This window comes from Homo sapiens, chromosome 4, assembly GCF_000001405.40.
Source record: "Homo sapiens chromosome 4, GRCh38.p14 Primary Assembly".
Taxonomy (NCBI): Eukaryota; Metazoa; Chordata; class Mammalia; order Primates; family Hominidae; genus Homo; species Homo sapiens.
Genome location: NC_000004.12, coordinates 95,105,674 through 95,121,022, shown reverse-complemented (window position 1 = coordinate 95,121,022; position 15,349 = coordinate 95,105,674). Strand labels below are relative to the sequence as shown.

Here is a 15,349-nt window from a genome sequence, read left to right as displayed (position 1 = left end):
CAGCCTGGCCAACATGGCAAAACCCCGTCTCTACAAAAATACAAAAATTAGCTGGGCATGATGGCACACGCCTGTAATCCCAGCTACTGAGGAGGCTGAGTCGGGAGAATTGCTTGAACCCGGGAGGTGGAGGTTGCAGTGAGCAGAAATCGTGTCACTGCACTCCAGCCTGGGTGACTGAGAGAGACTCCATCTTGAAAAGGAAGTAAGGAAGGGAGGGAGGGGAGCAGGGGGAGGGAAGGGAAGGGAGGAAGGGAGGGAGAGAGAGAGAGAAAGAGAGAGACAGACAGAAAGAGAGAGAGAGAAAGAGAGAGAGAGAGAAAGAGAGAAAGAAAGAAAGAAAAGAAAAGAAAGAAGAAGGAAGGAAGGAAAGGAAGGAAGGAAGGAAGGAAGGAAGGAAGGAAGGAAGGAAAGGCAGGCTATTGACTGATTTTTTGTATATTCATTCTGTATCCTTAAACCTTGCTGAACTCGTTTATCAGTTCTAGTAGTCTTTTGATGGAGTCTTTAGGTTTTTCTAAGTATACGATCATACCATCAGTGAAGATACTTTAACTTCTTCTTTTCATAAGGATGCCTTTTATTTCTTTCTCTGGTCTGATTGCTCTGACTAGGACTTCCAGTGCTATGCTGAATAGGAGTGATGCTGTATACATATCCAAAGGAATATGCCAAAAAGACACATGCATTTGTATGTTCATTGCCACACTATTCACAATAGCAAAGACACACAATCAACGTAGTTGCTCATCAATGGTGTGTTGGATAAACAAAATGTGGTACATATACACCATGGAATACTACGCAGCCATAAAAGACAATAAAATAACATCCTTTGAAGCAACATGGATGGAGCTGGAGGCCATAGTCCTAAGTGAATTAATGAAGGAACAGAAAACTAAATACTGTATGTTCTCACTTATAAGTGGGAACTAAACACTGAGCACACATGGACATAAACATGGCAAGAACAGACACTGTGGATTAACGGGGGTGAGGGGAGATGGGTTGAGAAACTGCCTATTGGGTACTATGCTTACTACCTGGGTCCAATAAACTCCTGTAACAGTCTCCACATGTACCCCTTGTAAGTACAAATGAAATCTGAAATTTAAAAAAAGAAAAACATCTTCAAAATATTTCAGAAAATCTTTGGATTATCTATTACAAACAAAAATCCACTATGAATTTCTTATCCAAACTTCATGATGGTCAGTGTTATGATTTACTCATCAGTCTAAAATATATATGTTTAACAGCTATTTATGATTTGTAATAGTTGCAAAATATTAATGAAAGTAATCTCCATCTGAAAACACTAAATGAGAGGCTACTAAAGCAGTTATTATATGAATAAATTAAGAAATGTTACCAATAATCCAGGAAAAGGGAGCTCAGGAACTTGACATATTATAGCACTTGTAAAAAGTCATTCAGGGCTCAACAGGAGCCATTCAAGGAGCCATTCAGGACAAACAGGAATTATATATAATTTGAGCATTCATTGTCTAAACATGCTGCTTAGTAAATCTTGAAAATAATCTGTAAGCTCTTAATGTTATGCAGGCTAAAATTTAACACAATAAATTGTCTTAGTAAATTTTTTCCTCCATTCCTCCCTCTCTTAGGTTATATAAAGAGTTAAAAATAAATTCAAGGTATCATAATACCTCAACCAGTGAAAGCACAACTCACAATATTTTTATACAGATAGAAGCATCCAAACACTGTAACACACAAATACGTTAAGACTGCGACTGGAAACTTAACTTAAATGCATTTCCAATTTTAAAGATAACGAAAGATTTTGCAAAAATTTTAGATTTTAGGAGAATGCTAGATACTCAACCAAAACTAGAACTATCCACATAATTATAATGTCAATATATTATCAGTATATGAACACATAATACTTTTCCATTCCAATGATATAATTTTACTAAGACTCCAAGCTTCACTGCCTTTTACTTTCCATGTAAATGCAAGATACAGGATACACCCTGAGCTGCAAGAACACTGTGTATTACTTATCTTATTATATTTCTGATTTATGAGAGCAATGAGACCAGAAGGATCAAGGGATTCTTTCCTTTCCATCAAGCACTTTATTTAAGGCTAGCTTTACCTTCCCATTTGCCTTTTATTTGCCCCATAACCCTATCCCCGGCAGCCTCCTTGTCTTCTCTCATGAATAGGTGATCCTTATCAATAAACCTTTTGTTTCTGCTGGTCACGCTGGTCATGTTTTAATCTGCCATTACCTGTGCTCGGAGCACTAACAATGTAAACATTCAAGCCACAGCCAGAGTCTCAGAAAGTGAACAGTTCCAGATACCTATCAGGAAAAGAGCAGAGCCCACAGCTTTCAGCTCTCTCCAGGACAGCAGATTTCTACCTGCGCTGTCACTCCAACTGCTCTGGGAAGTAGAACTGAGAACTCCCGGGCGAAGTCTGGTTCACTCTGAGAGGCAAGTTAAGAATCACCAGTGGTTTCACAACAAAACTGCATTCTGTCACTACTATCACCTCTCCGATAATTAGCTTGTAACTGCTTAAAATGCCAGGACTGTTTTTATAAGACTAGAAGATGGTTCACAATTGCAATAAGAAATAGAAGAAAAAAATCATATAGCTAGAAAGTAAAATATCTAGTACAATTTCAATAAAAACTGTACATGTGTATATGGTAGAGTCAAAAAAAAAAAGCAGCAGCTCTGTGGTATAGCTATGTAAAAACATCAGTGCTCTCAGACTACAATCTGCAGTGACATTTACTTGACCCCAAAACAGCTGGCCCAAAAAGGTAAGAATCTGCAGAGACTTTGGAACTAGACACTACCTGAGTAGACTCTGCAGAGACCTTGCCTAGGCACTGGCAAAGCAGTGGAATCTGGAAAGACCTTGCCTAAGTACCACCTGAGATCCTCAGAGCTCAAAGCAGTGCATTCTAATGCTACTAAACCCCACCAAAGCCAGCCACCTTACGCAATGCTCAGTAGAGTCCACCAGCCACTCCTGCATCCTCATCTCCACACTGCCCTGGACCAAGAACTTGTCTTCTCATTGTTCCTACCCTCCTTTTCTAAGCCTTTTTACTCTGTCCTTTGGAGTTTTATTCTACTATTTTTCTAAATTCCTACATCCTCCTCAGATAATGCTCTCTCACCTTCACACTCCTAACTGGACTGAAATCTGGCCCCATCTCTCTTTTCTTATTTATTTAAAAAGATTTTTTTAGAAAGAGTGTCTCATTCTGCCACCCAGGCTGCAGTGCAGTGGCAGGACTGTAGCGCAATGTAATGTCGAACTTCCGGGCTCAAGTGATCCTCCCACCTTAGCCTCCCTAGTAGCTGCAACTACAGATGTATACCACCATGCCCAGATCATTAAAATTTTTTTTTTTTTAGAGATGGAGCCTTGCTATGTTGCCCAGGCTGGTCTTGAACTTCTGGGCCCAGGCGATCTTCCCACTTTGGTCTTCCAAACTGCTGAGATTACAGGTGTGAGCCACTGTGCCCAGCCCTCATCTCTCTTAATTATGGGATTTTTCTCCAACCAGTCATGCTGTTTCATACTCCTGTAGTTAGCAAATGGCTCTCCAATATTACAAACCAGACCTCTGCACTTAACTACTGCATCTGTTTAGAGTCACTGCTACTCATAGGCTATGCAAACTCAAAGTTAATAAACTTTCCGGTGCTGTGTTTTCCTTATCTTTAAAGTTGGAAGAACAATTCTATGTACTTCACAGGGCTGCTGTGAGGCTAAAATGGATTAATTAATGTACTTTTTAGCAGATTATGTGGCTAAAGTTAGCCATTTAAATTTTAAACTTTCTATATACTTAGCCTATCCTGCCTTATCCACTTAGCACACTCCTCTTCATCCTTAAAGTCTTGTTCAAGTATCACTTCTAGGAAGCTATTCTGACAACCTCCTCCCCCAGGTAGAGCCAGCCACTCACTCTATTATGTCCTTAATACACTTTATAATCTAACTCTACTAATGAGATATTTCTGAACAAATATAGTTATTGACACGGTGCTCTCTTACATTCTAATGTATACTTCTTGGGAGGAATAATTTTCTTCATTAATTTCTGTATTCCTAATACCTAGCATGTTGCCTGCCACAATTAAAAAAAAATGCTGGTGAGGCTTTGATGTGAATCATTATTAATCAATCTTGTATAGCTTTCTAGGCTAGAACAGGAACAAATGTTAAAACATTTGTCACAAAATTCTAGCTGGGTGTGGTGGTGTGCACCTGTTTCCCAGCTACTGGGGAGGCTGAGGTGGGAGGACTGCCTGAGCCCAGGAGGTGGAGGTTGCAATGAACTATGATGACACCATGCACTCCAGCCTGGGCAACAGAGCAAGACCCTGTCTCAAAAAAAAAAAAGAGAGAGAGAGAGAGAAAGCAAAACAAAGTCATGAAATTCCATTATGTTTTGTTGGAAAGATTTTTCTCTTCTCAAGAAATAAAATCAATCATGAAAAATCACTTTAAATCACTTAGATAAGATTTAGGACTTAAAACTCTGCAACAACAAAAAACCGTGTGTGTGTGTGTGTGTGTGTGTGTGTGTGTGTGTGTGTGTGCGCGCGCTGAAAGCATGGAGGAGGAGAAAGGGAACATGAGACCTGTTGCAAACAAAAGGTCTCTTGGGAGGCAATATCTTGGGAGGCAATATTTGTCATTTTAAAGGAACAACACTTAAATGGGTAAGTTTTGAAATTAAAACTTTTAGATACCTTCCCCATTTTATCAATATATTGATACGATTTGACTAAAAGGTGTTACTCTAGCATAAAAAAAGGAAATGCCATATAGCAAATAATGTTTAATTTAGCCCTTTATATGGTCTTTACTTTTAAAATAAATATAGACAAATGGTAGTTTTTGGGTGAACTACAACTTCTGAATAACTTTCAGGGAGAAGCAGAGTGCTAGCTCCTGCCTCCACCCTGAAATACACTACAAACTCTAGGAATAGCAATTTTCTGAACAGAAGTGGGAAAAAATAAAAATCATAAAAGTGAAGTCACATATGACTGTTTTCCCACAAACTACTTGCACATGTCTTCGAATGATGGTTCCATGTCATCTGGCCTCAGTGCTCTGCTCCAGCAGTGGAAAGTGGTACAGGTAGATTGAGAGAGAACGATTCTAGTTTTTAGTTTTTATTTTCATGATACCTAGTGATTTTCCAGGCTGGAAGCCTTCCTCACTTACCTCTGTTTTTCAATGGAGGCAGTGTAGGGTGTAGGTCTTTATTACATTCGTTCCTTTCTGTGCAGCATTCAATTGATCTTCTTTGATGAGGAATGGGAGTGTCCTATAATCGAACCCAAACAGCTATTAGTGAGTTTCTTCCAAATTTCAAAGTCAAATCATCTAAAACTTTAAAAATAGTCACTATTTAGAGAACTAATTTAAAATTCTAACAATTTCACTCAAACACCTTAAATATGTTCTCCTCTATAAGGTAATTTATTTCAAGCTACCATGTATTATCTTATTGCAACTTTTGCATTTCAACAAAATTACTACTACATTTCTAATAACTAGTGTGCATTGTATAAACTGAGGAAGAAGGCTTGGATTAATGCAACAAGCTAAATTGGATTTTGAGGAAGATGCTCTAATGCGACACTAAACAAGACGTTAACAGCAAAAATAAAAATAATATTTGATTTCAAAATGAAGGAAGAATTGGTCCAATGGAAAATTTCAGTTTTCTAAATTACAATCATGTGTCACTTAAAGACAGGGATATGTTGTGAGAAATGTGTTATGAGGTGATTCTGTCATTGTGAGAAGATCACAGAGTACACTTGCACAAACCTAGATGGTATAGCCTACTACACACATAGGCCAAAAGATAAAGCCTATTGTTCCTAGGGTAAAAATCCATACAGCATGTCACTGAACTTAATACTGTAGGCAATTAAGGCACAATAGTATCCATTTGTGTATCTAACCATAGAAAAGGTACAGTCAAAATATGGTGCTATAATATTATGGGACCACCATCCACTGTCATCATACATACCATCTGTTGCTGACCTAAATGTTTTTGTGCAGCTCATGACTATACTAAAAATGGGCTGGCCAAGAAAAAGAATGGTTTTATCTTGCTTGAAACTTGTTGGAAATCTAGCCAATGAAAGGTTACAGAATCAAGTTATCTACCTTACCCGACACTGAAAATCTGAGCCTTCTAGTCCTAGGCAACCAGAAGTGACCACAGGCAACCCAGAGTCATCCTCTTCTATCATCGTGAAACAATATCCGTCTGTGCTGAAGATCAAACAAGCAAAGTGAGAAACAGAATGTGTGTGTGTGAGTCAGTGTGTGTGTGTGTGTGTGTGTGTCTAGGGGAAAAGGAAATAAGTGATGTGTATCATTTGTTTTATTGCAACAAGGAGAATGTCAATGATCTGTTAAGAGAATCCAAAAACTTCCTTTTATGAAAATGGATTTAATAAACATAAAAACATTTTGTAATATCTCCTTTGTCCAGAAACTTGTGAAAAAGAAGGATCTAACATTTCCATATAATATACATCATTAATTACCATGAAAAACCATAGATACCAATTACTGAACACTTATTTTGGCCCTTCACAGATACTACTTTTCCAGACAAATCCAGACAAACTCTGTGAGGAAGGTAGCACTACTGTTGCTTTCTATATGAGGAAACTGAGGCTCAGGGGGCTTGAGTAACTTTCAAAAGTCTTACAGTTAGTGAGAAGGAGTGCAAGGGTGTGAATCCAGGCAGGTGACTGTTTATACTGTTCTTGCTCTGAGATAGTGAAATACACTTATTTCTTATTAAAGCACAAAAACTAAAGACAGGTAGGATTTGGGATCAGCATGGCATAACTGAGATTCTGACATTTAGTACCTCTGCTTCTGGGCTGTCCTGTCATATAAAGAAATTAAGCTTTGTTGTAAGAAGTATAGGCTTCATTTGGGGGTGGGGTAAAGATGGGCAACAGAAAGAAGGGTTCTTGATAAGACAGTGGAGAGGAAATAAAATTTTAAATTCTGTATGGTTTTCCAGATTAAAAATAACTTTCACTTATTCTACATCATTTAATCCTCTCAACAATAAGAAAAAGAAAGTATTATTATTCCTATCTTACAGATGAGGAAATTAAAATTATAAAAGTGTAGCAAACTTGTACAAGATCAAAGAACAAACAGTTATGGAACTGGGCCTTGAATCAAGGGCCTCTCACTTCACCATGTGTTTTCTGCTATGCCCTTTGGGACTAAAATAAAAAACACATCTGTTATATACAGAACTGTTTGTAAACAGACATTGATATCTTCACAACTTTGGGTGATGAATGCCAGCAGACTCTCAATATAAGTCATAAACCAGCACTGAATGTCTTAAGAAATAAAGTACTAAACTATATCTCTATCCTTTTCTCATATATATGCATGCTCAGCGTCCAAGACAGATATGGCAATGTAATCTTGAAAGGTCATGGGAATAAAGCTCTGAGAACGATACTAGCCATGATTTGTGGGTTTGTCTATTCTGTCTTAGTGGTAGCAGCATGCTGCTATATGTTAGCCCTTCAGTTATTATCAACACCCTCAGAATTGTTTACTTGGTTTATAAGCCTCAAGTGGTCCAAAATACTTCACTTTATAAGAGCCAGCACAACAAAATTCAAACATACTAATGAATGGCTAAAAAGGGCCAATGATAAATCCCTCTCTTACACCAAGGTCAAAAAGCATGAATATTGTTGTGGAAGAAAGACTGTCTCTGAACAGCCCATGCCTTGAACTCTTCAGGCCTTTTTAACCAATTTACTGAAATTGCTATAAAAATGTAAAACATGTAAACACCGAAGGGAATAATTAAAATATCTGTTCCTTAGAAATTTACTTTAAACAATATGAACAAGTAACACCTGTGACTTTTTTATTCTTTTCCTTCATATTTAGACTACATGTATAACTTACATTTCTCATCTAAATCAAAATTCAAAAATTACCGGAAAATATGGTCATCCTAATTTTATGATATCAGGAAGGTATAGGGGCTAGAGAAGTACCCTAAATTAAATCTAAAGACTAATTTCTCCTTATCATGGGTTCTTCTTACTCAAAATAGGAGTAAATAGAAATGCACTTCTAGGCAACTGTTAAGAATAAAAAAGAAATGGAACAGAAAAAGCTGGTAAAGCTATTGTCAAGTTACTGCTATGATGTCCTAGGAAATTTAAAGAAACATCAGAGACAGTAAATTCAAGCTTTAAAAATACACACCCCTTGTCTGCAAAGAGAGAGGAGCTAAAAATATAAAGAGGGGAGACCCTGAGAAAATAGTCCCTTCCCCTATAAGCCATAAATTCATAAAGGAATCAAATATTTAGTTGGAAGACAAGAAAGGAGGCGAGACAGCCATTTCAATGGAATATTAGCTGCCACAAAGCAAATTAATTTATATGCTCCTCACTGACATTGCTCTCCAGCAAGGAACATCAACTGGAAACTAGCACTACAATTACAGAAGTTCAAGAATTACTTGAAAACTTGCAACCCTAAAGCAAGTACAAATGGAAACAAAGCTATGTTCCGCAGTCAAAGCTAATCAATTTTGCCCACCTCTAAGAGACGGCTACAGGCTGTCACAATTAACTCTTACCATTGGCCTATGTGAACATTCTGCTGCCTGGTTGCCATGTTTAAGCTTAGTTTTGTATAGAGATTGTTACCCTCGTTCCCAGAGTGTTGGAAGTGATAAAAAGATGAGATGAAGAATCATGAAGGAAATAAAAGTGGAAATAATTTTAAACAAAATTGAAAATAAGTGAGATATATACATGAACATAGGATGAATCAGGGAACTGTAGTAATGATTATGAATGAAATAAAAAGACAATTGATGTAACATTTCAAAAATGCTGTCCCTGTGTTATAGACGAAGAAAAGTGATAGCAAAATGAAACAGTAGTTGAGTGCACAAGATATTCAGTCACCAGTGCTAACTGCCTTCTGACATAATGTTAACTCATGAAAAAGCAAAGCACTTGAGAATTTAAAGACTGCATGAAGTCAAAGCAGTGATAATGCAAGTCTTGTTTTTCTTGAAGAGGATTCAGGGAGAGAAGAAAAAGAATATGAAAAAGAAAGAAAAGCAAAACAGGAACAATTTTGTTACAATTCTTGGATGATTATACAGGTTCTAGGCTCCTTAAGTTCCCCAAATATTCCAAAAGCAAAGGACTGTCTAGAAGGAACATCTAGAAAAATCATCAGGCATTTAACCACCTCAAGAGATTTTCAGTGTGCCCAGGTGAACATACACTTGCAAAAAAGGTGTCTACCTGTTTTAAAACTTCAAGGGACCAAGCGATACTCTTTTTAGGTAGATACGCATTCAGAGAATAGATGCATTTATTATGGTCAAAAATTTATTTCATTTATTATGGTCAAAACAGATTTATAATATAGCCTTCTGGAACCCAACTCATTCATTAGTTGTTGTAGAATGGTTAGAAACCAATTTTAGAAGATGTCTAAAACTGCACTGATAGCATCTTTATTTCACATGAATATAGTGTTTACAAGGTTTACCCAAACTTTGGTCCCTTTAATTCTATTATTCCACTAAGATCTTATGTTTCTTTATTGTAAACCCCAGGGTTGTTCATATAGCCACCACAGTTGAGAAGAGACTATTGTAGAACTTTTCCTCTAACAGTTTAGATCTTCATAAAGATTCATTTAACTGTAAAACAATTATTTAAAGTATTAGTTAAAAAGAGTTTATCTGCTCTGTTCAATCAAGTGATAGGAAATTTGAAAGCATTATATTTATATGATGGGTATCTATCTGCTCAGTTGCACCTGGCTGGAAAGATTAACAGTTTTCCTACAACAACTCTTAAATTTCTTTTGAATTTCTTTTACATTTTAGTCAGAATTGATTTTTAAAGGTTAACTGATTTTAGGTCATCTGTAAACAAGTTCTTAAGAACATCTTTTCTTCTAAAATATCTATTTCTCACTCAAGGGAGTAAAGTCAGTTTTCAGTTTTTGTCACAGGTAAACGCAAAGATACACATAACTTTTAGAATTACCATTTAAAGGGTGCAGCTTTTTAGTCCATTAACTAAAATAGCTGAAAGCTGCTCATAGCTTTGTTAACAGTGGTATGTTTTACACTTATCAAGCATACTATGACTCCAGCAGAGCTGGGTGCTGAGTATGCAAGGGTGCATTTTGAGGAACTCATAGTCTACGAAGGCCACCAATCCTGGAAAAGAGAAAAGTCATTTAACTTCCAGGAATAGGGACAGACATCATAAGCTGCCTAAGTGTTTTCTACTGATTGTGAAGTAACCAAAGAAGAATGCTGAGTGTGGTAATTATTAAAGTAATAGAATCCTACTTCTTTTCCCCTATCATCTTAGATGATGGATTCCCATAGCAGTGGACGGAATATAGCGTGAAATACATATGAGTCTACTTTCCCCTTCCCTGGCTTTCCTTCTGAGGGGTCACAGTATTGGGAGAAGGTGAAGTTACAACATTAACGACGAAGTACCAATGTGAGAGATGCCCCTTTTATTTATCCTCAAGATCATGTAACTATCAGACATCCTTCCCTGGTACCCTTGCCAAATGATTTAGCATTTTGTTTATTTTTTCTATGAGGTACAAGATTTTTTGAAATTGTCTCAGTTTTTACATTCAACCAGCATTAGTATAATTTCACCCAATGCGGACCCTCACCACATCTCACCTTGACAGCTCTGAGAGCCTTCCTGCAGGACTTCCTCTCTCCTCTCCTAACTCTAATCCATTCCATATAGCAAGCCTGATAAATCCTACATTGTCTCTGCTCAAAAATCTTCAAGAGTTCTCTCTGTATAATTTTAAAGCGCCCTGCACTATCACTTTCTATTAACTCCAGCAACAAACTGGGACCGTCTAAAATTCTCATTGATGACTAATGAGAGGTACAAGAGGAGAGTTATTCCTTATAAAAGCCTCCATATGTGAATTTAAAATCACAGCCTCTTATAACTGAATGTTCTCACTCATAGGTGGGAATTGAACAATGAGAACACATGGACACAGGAAGGGGAACATCACACACCGGGGACTGTTGTGGGGTGGGGGGAGGGGGGAGGGATAGCATTAGGAGATACACCTAATGCTAAATGACGAGTTAATGGGTGCAGCACACCAACATGGCACATGTTGTATACATATGTAACAAAGCTGCACATTGTGCACACGTCCCCTAAAACTTAAAGTATAATAATAATAATAATAATAATAAAAAGAAGTTCTAATGAAGAACCCACCATTCTCTTAGGTGCAATGGTTTGAAATCAACATCTTCTACTGGAAAAAAATAATTAAATAGATCAATATTTAAATGGCCTGGGCAACCGTGGAAAAAATAAAACCCTGGATGGTTTATAATGACATTCAGTATGCAAGGTAAAACGTGCAAACAAGCTGGAACAATGCACGCTTAAATCCTCTGAGACCTACGGTCAGGAGCACCTGTTTGAAAACATACCACCACACTCAGTAAGAGGTTTAAAAAGCCTGAGTTAACACAAACTTTGTAAAAAGGCTCCAGCCCCTAAGCTTTTCCTTCTTCCACCTGTGACTCTTCAGGATACAGAGTTGGAGGCTTATCTAATTCCTCATTTAAGCAGCCTGGTGTCATTTGCACATCCTTTGTGCAAACATTCAATTTGATTTATTACATCTGTAAACCCTGAAAACTGCCCAGGCAGGAGAATTCTTGGTAAGAAACCAATAAGATAAGTAAAGAAGTATTAAAGATTGTCTTTGAAGAAAATAGTCAAAAATAATTTTTTAAATGCATAACATGCGTGAGGAAGTGGAGGGACTTGAGAAAGGTGGTAAGATAGAAACAAAAATGTGATTACAGACCACATCAAGTAAAACAAGGAATGATATGCAAAGCCAGATCTGATTATATAGAGAAAAAATATATAAACAAGGCTGAGATAACACTTGCTAGGACAGGAAACTGAAACAGAACACTGGCATGTTGAAAGCCACATAAGGAGAGTTACTCAAGGAAACTATAGCACTCAAGGTATGCAGTGATGGTCTGTCATCCTAGGAGTAGAATCTGGAAATGGAACTCGATGGATTACAACGCAAATTGACACATGGAAAGATATTTAGAAAACAGATGGTATCTCGAGGGAGAGAGGACAATGGCTTTACCCCTTACTTTGAAATATAAATATAAAAAAGGCTCTATTACTGTATTCAGTCACACTATGTTTGTACTACATCCTTTAATGTGAATATCATGAGCAGTGGAAATGGCATGGATTTTGGAAGCAGCCGTATCTGCACCTGACAGAGATCAAGCCAAGAATGACTCTGGCCTTGGCGAAGGCTGATAGAGTAATTAATGGTACTGAAAAGGAGTTTACAAGCCTCTAAAACCTTGCACATGTCCTCTAAATTAGCATGTGAGATTTCAGGTTCTCTTTTAAGTACTATTCACTCTTGCCTCCTTTTGGATTATTCTCTCCAGGGAGGTGGAAGTGATAATGAACATGAAACCTACCACAACACTCAGTTTGACTAAGATCTGGGTGGTACAAGGCCTCAAGCCAGACAATTTAGACCAGCCCTTTTCTAAGGTACACATTAGAAAATACAACCTTATCCTTTAAACTGTTTTACCTAGAAGGGTAATACTTAGTGTAGCATTACTCAAGGTGTGTTCCCCTGCAGGTCAGCAAACTGCTTGCTACTGATCTGGGAAGGGGTGAATTTAAAAATGAAAACTTGTATAGCAATCTAAAGGAACAAATTTATGTCTGTTGAAGGTAAATATTAGGCAATAAAAATGGAGCATGTATTTTGTAAGTATTTTAAAAATTAATTTTTCTAAGAATTTTTTTATTATAATTTAGCAAAGTATCAGTATACAATTTATTGTGGAGAGAAAATTATCTTTCACTAGAGATAGCCTGAGAAGTACCGATTTGGAGGGTAGAGAGTAGAGTGTGCTTACAGGAATGGAAGTAGAAAGTCCTGGATTTATATAGGTCTTAGGACAAAGAAACAAATGTGGCCCCTGTGAGTCACATATGACTGATCTCAGCTCACAGGAAGATTCAACTGGAATCAATACTTCATTAGGAAAATACATGTGCCTTTTACTCAAGAGTGAATGTTTGCTCCTTTCAGAACCAATGTCAGAACTGGCCGCTGGCCAAGAATTCAGGACTTTGGAGTCCCGGCCACAATTTTTCTATCATATCATCATAACTATGGAAAATTACTTAACTTTTTAGAGCCTCGGAATTCTCACCTAGCAAACATAGATAGTGCTACATTCTTTATAGGAATGTTATAATGAATAAAGAAAGGTAAAAGTAAACATGCTAATATTTATTAAAAATTCAATAAATATTAGTTTTCTGTTAACTTCTACAAGTTAATCCATTGATGTTGACGGCAATGGTATATCTATGTTCTTTTGAGGGATTCCATTTTTACTGTGGCTGTTTTTCTTTCTTCTGTATTTTTGTTTACTTTTTCTTTGCTGTCATAAATCAAAGTTTGACAACCATATAACACAACCCATTTTAATCTGACTTCCATCTCTACTACATTAAATATCTCTAAACTGCAGTTATCAGTGTCTATAAATCTGATTGCCATTTTTCAGTTCTTATTCTACTCTCTAATAGATCCAACATAGCTGACCTTACTACCTCTCTAAGTAAACCTGGCTTCAGTGACACCATACTCACTGCTTTATTGTGAATTCTTTAGTATCTTGCAGACATCCCCTTTACCCAAGCATTAAATGTCTCATGGCCAAGTCATACACTGGTAGATTGTTCTATTATTAATCCCAATTCTTCATACTTTACCAGGGACAATGCTTCCCCTTGACTGTGACCTTGATTTTGTCACTTGATTTGGAAAATTCAATGTCAGAGGACACAATATGAGCAGAAGCCTTAAAAGATTACTCCTTTACACTCCTGTGAGAAACAATATGCCTTGGGTAGCTGCTGATCCAAAATAAAAAAAAAAAATGAAGAAATGTGCAGCAGGCCTAAACTCAAACAGCAGCATGAAGTGAAGCCCACCTAATCCCAGCAGAGTGCAGCACGGATACAGCCTCCTTACAAACCCCTGAATGAAAAATAAGTGTTTTTAATTATAAGCCACTGTGGTTCTGAGGTTATCTGTTTCACCGCAAACAGTGACTAATGCTATGCACATTTTGACCTCTCTCCTCAACCTCTTCTCTGAGCCCCAGATCCATATCCAACTGCATACTGATACCTCTACTCAGATACATAAAAATCCTCAAATGTATCATGTCCAGATTGGAACTTGGTTCTTTTCATCTGTCCTCTTTCATTAAAAGTCTACCTTATGCATTTAAATCTACATCTGGAAACTTATAAAGCCTCTCTGGTTGTCCTCCTAGATGGTATCTAATCCATCATCATACAGCTCTATCTTCTAAATATTTCTCAAATAGATCTCACTCACTCCTACACCAGCACCACCCTAGCTCAAGATCATTTTCTTGCACATGAACTGATTTTACTGAATCCACTGTTCAATTTCCCTGACCTAACTGTTCTTGAATTCACTTCTGTCTCCTTCTAATACATCCAATATTCTGCAGCAAAGAAACAAATCAGATCATGTCAACCCTACCACCACTCCTGCTGCAAAACTCCCTTCACTTGCTTCCCAACACCCTTAGGAATAAGATCACGTTCTTAATATAGCCCACCAGGTCACAGTCACTATACCTCCTGTCTCAGCTCCTACCACTATGCTCTACTGTTCCTACTCCCTGATCCTACTCCCTGTACTCTAGAAAAAACAGTTTCTTTTGAACACGCCAAGCTTCTTCCCACAACAGAATTTCCACTGCAGATACCCTGACTGAACACTTTCTATCAAACCAACTTAGGACATCCAAATGGCTTATCAGGAAAACAGGACAAAATATTTGGAAAATCCTGATCACCAGGACAATAGCTCAAATGACACACACAGGCGTATTCTGAATACCACAGACTTAAGACACAATAGTAAAATACCCCACGCTACTTTGTTTGCTCCTGCTAATTTTGCTTTCTTTCAAACATTTTTAAACTCTCCTGATACTTTTTCTATTTACTATAAAGAGGCAGTGTTTCCCTGGAAAAAACTGAGCTTTGGAATCGTTTTACCTTGGCAAAAAAATTCAGTGGTCACAACTTTGTAGTACAAGAGTCAAGTTACTAGACCTCTCTGGATCCCAAATTTCATTTGTCTAAAGGTG

At 37.3% G+C, this 15,349-nt stretch overlaps 1 protein-coding gene across 12 annotated transcripts in view; it reads right to left on the bottom strand.

The window, feature by feature from the left end:
- The window catches only part of BMPR1B (bone morphogenetic protein receptor type 1B), a 400,496-nt gene that overhangs the window by 37,428 nt on the left and 347,719 nt on the right, over positions 1-15,349 (bottom strand). For all 12 annotated transcript variants that reach the window (XM_017008559.2, XM_047416093.1, XM_047416091.1 and 9 more), the window contains 2 exons: positions 6,201-6,303; positions 5,236-5,338 (listed from right to left, as the gene is read on the bottom strand). In XM_017008559.2, the coding sequence (XP_016864048.1) occupies positions 5,236-5,338; positions 6,201-6,303 (206 nt within the window). The remainder of the gene's footprint in view (positions 1-5,235; positions 5,339-6,200; positions 6,304-15,349) is intronic.